Source organism: Homo sapiens, chromosome 9, assembly GCF_000001405.40.
Source record: "Homo sapiens chromosome 9, GRCh38.p14 Primary Assembly".
Taxonomy (NCBI): Eukaryota; Metazoa; Chordata; class Mammalia; order Primates; family Hominidae; genus Homo; species Homo sapiens.
Genome location: NC_000009.12, coordinates 114,875,979 through 114,879,248, shown reverse-complemented (window position 1 = coordinate 114,879,248; position 3,270 = coordinate 114,875,979).

The window sequence follows — 3,270 nt, the reverse complement described above, 5'->3', positions numbered from 1 at the left end:
GGAAACTTACAACTATGGTGGAAGGGAAAGCAAACACATCTTTCTTCACATGGCAGCGGGAAGAGAAGAATGAGCAAAAGGGGGGAAAGCCCCTTATAAAACCACCAAGTCTGGTGAGAATTAACACACTATCATGAGAACAGCAGTGTGGGGGTAAACACCCCCATGATTCAATTAGCTCCCACCAGGTCCCTCCCATGACATATAGGGACTATGGGAACTACAATTCAAGATGAGATTTGGCAAGGGACACATAGCCTAACCATATCAACTGCCAAACTTACATCTCCAGTCCAGATAACTCCTCTGAGCTCCAATCTTCCTAATTCAACTATTTAACACTTTCTGGCAGGGTACAGTGGCTTGTGCCTGTAATCCCAGCACTTTGGGAGGCTGAGGTGGGAGGACCACTTGAGGTGAGGAGTTCGAGACCAGCCTAGCCAACATAGTGAAACCCTGTCTCTACCAAAAATACAAAGCCAACATAGTGAAACCCTGTCTCTACCAAAAATACAAAAATTAACCAGGTATGTTGGTGTGCACCTGTAGTCCCAGTTACTCAGGAGGAAAAGTCATGAGGATTGCTTGAACCCAGCGGGCAGAGGTTGCAGTGAGCCAAGTTTGCAGCGCTGCACTCCAGCCTGGGCAACAGAGCAAGACTCTGTCAAAAAAAAACTATTTAACATTTTTTTCTGATATTGCCAATTTTAAATGCCCAAAACTCATTATTTTAACATCTTCCCCCACTTACCTCGGTTCTTCTGGGTTTCTGCAGTAACTTTTATCACCATCGATTCAGTTGATCAAACCAGAAATCTCCCTTTCACTAATATCCAGCATCTAGGCAACCAGTAAGTGGCTTGTACTACCTAATATGCTGTCTCATTTTTCCTCTCTTGAATCATCTCTACTGCTAACACTGTAATCCACACCATCATTCTCACCTGTATTGCTGGAATAGGCTCCCACCTGTTCTTATCTCTTTCTTGCTGCCTCCTCCCTCACCCCTGGTGTATTTTTGACACACCAAGAAGAATCATCTTAAAATAAAAAATTGGATTATGTTGGTTTATTGGTTGGTCTTGCTTTCTCTTCCTCTCTCTCTCTCCTCCTCTCTTCTCTATTCTCTCTTACATACTCTAGGACCCACAACTCTCTCACTATATCTGGAATCCCCAGAACCTAGCTCAACATTGACACTTAAGAGGAGGACTTTAAATATTAGTTAAATGAATCATTGAAGTGGACAAATTAGGGTATCCTACGATCATTTAAAATCCAGAAACAAAGGGCTAAGAAATCAGTAAGAGAGCCAGAAACCAATGCACATGAGTAAAGAAAGCTAAAATAACAGCCAAGGAGGAGTAGACAATATGAAAAATAGAGAAAATTATTAGAATTGAAAAGTGTTTGACTTAGTATCTGAGCCTTAAAGAGAAATTGTTGCTGGTAGCTGAGACAGTTGCAGTACTCATGTAGTGTTCTGGAAAGGCCTTGAAGCTTCCAGTGACCCCATATGATCTAGTCTTTTGAGGTATATTTGTTTGATATTCTATTCCTCCTTATTGCTATGTTTATCTTTACAGCAGGCTGAAGGATATTCTGAGTTCCTTGGTATATCAGTTGTCTACCCAAACAACACTCTAATGTTGATTATCTCCTGAGTTGACTGGGAGGGTCTCTATTCTTACAACTGGAAAAATGACAGATTAGGAGTCTGTATGATCCCTCCCAGGGCTGGTATTCTGTCTTGTTCATCATAGCTCTGTTTCTGGTGCTGGCACACACTAGGAACCTGAAAAATGTGTGTTGAAATGAATTCAACAGATCAGAGCTCTCTAATGAATTGAAATTTTTTTGGACTTTTTATGGCTTTCCCCTTTCTTTTAGCAGAAAAAGAGAATCAATTCTAGTGAAGTCCATTTCACGGCTAATGAAGCTTTAGCTGCCATGTGTCCAAGTGTGAAGACAGTATTAGAATATGATATGGTTTGGCGGTGTCCCCACCCAAATCTGATCTTGAATTGTAGTTCCCATCATCCCCATGTGTCATGGGAGAGACCAGATAGAGATAATTGAATCATGGGGGCAGTTTTCCTCACCCTGTTCTCATGATAATTGCTTCTCAAAAGATCTGATGGTCTTATAGGGGGCTTCCCCCTTCTGTGGGCACTCACTTTTCTCTCCTGCTGCCATGTGAAGAAGGACTTGTTTGCTTCCCCTTCCACCATGATTGTAAGTTTCCTGAGGTCTCCCTAGCCTTGTAGAACTGTAAGTCAATTAAACCTCTTTCCTTTATAAATTACCCAGTCTGGGGCAGCTCTTTATAGCAGCATGAGGAATGAACTAATACAGTAAATTGGTACTGGGTAATGGGGCACTGCTGTAAAGATACCCAAAAATGCAGAAGCGACTTTGGAACTGGGTACCAGGTAGAGGGTGGAACAGTTTGGAGGGCTCAGAAGAAGACAGGAAAATGTGAGAAAGTTTGGAATTTCCTAGAGACTTGGAGGGCTCAGAAGACAGGAAGATGTGGCAAAGTTTGGGACTCCTAGAGACTTGTTGAGTGGCTTTGACCAAAATGCTGATAATGATATAGACAATGAAGTCCAGGCTGAGGTGGTCTCATAGAGAGATAAGGAACTTGTTGGGAACTGGAGTAAATGTCACTCTTGCTATACAAAGAGGATGCTGGCATTTTGCCTCTGCCCTAAAAATCTGTGAAACTTTGATCTTGAGATAAATGACTTCAGGTATCTGGCAGAAGAAAGTTTTAAGCAGCAAAGCATTCAAGAGGAAGCCGAGCATAAAAGTTTGGAAAATTTGCAGCCTGACAATGCAATAGAAAACTAAACCCCATTTTCTGGGGATAAATTCAAGCCTGCAACAGAAATTTGCATAAGTAACAAGGAGCCGAATGTTAATCCCCAAGACAATGGGGAAAATGTCTCCTGGCCATGTCAGAGGCCTTCACGGCAACCCCTACCATTCACAGACCCAGAGGTTTAGGAGGAAAAAATGGTTCTGTGGGCCAGGCCCAGGGCCCCACTCCTGTGTGCAGCCTAGGGACGTGATGCCCTGTGTCCTAGACGCTGCAGCCATAGTCAAAAGGAGCCACAGTACAGCTCAGACCATGGCTTCAGAGGGTGTAAGCCCCAAGCCTTGGCTGCTTCTATGTGGTGTTGATCCTGCAGGAGCACAGAAGTCAAGAATTGAGATTTTTGGAACCTCCACCTAGATTTCAGAGGATGTATGGAAGTACTTGGATGT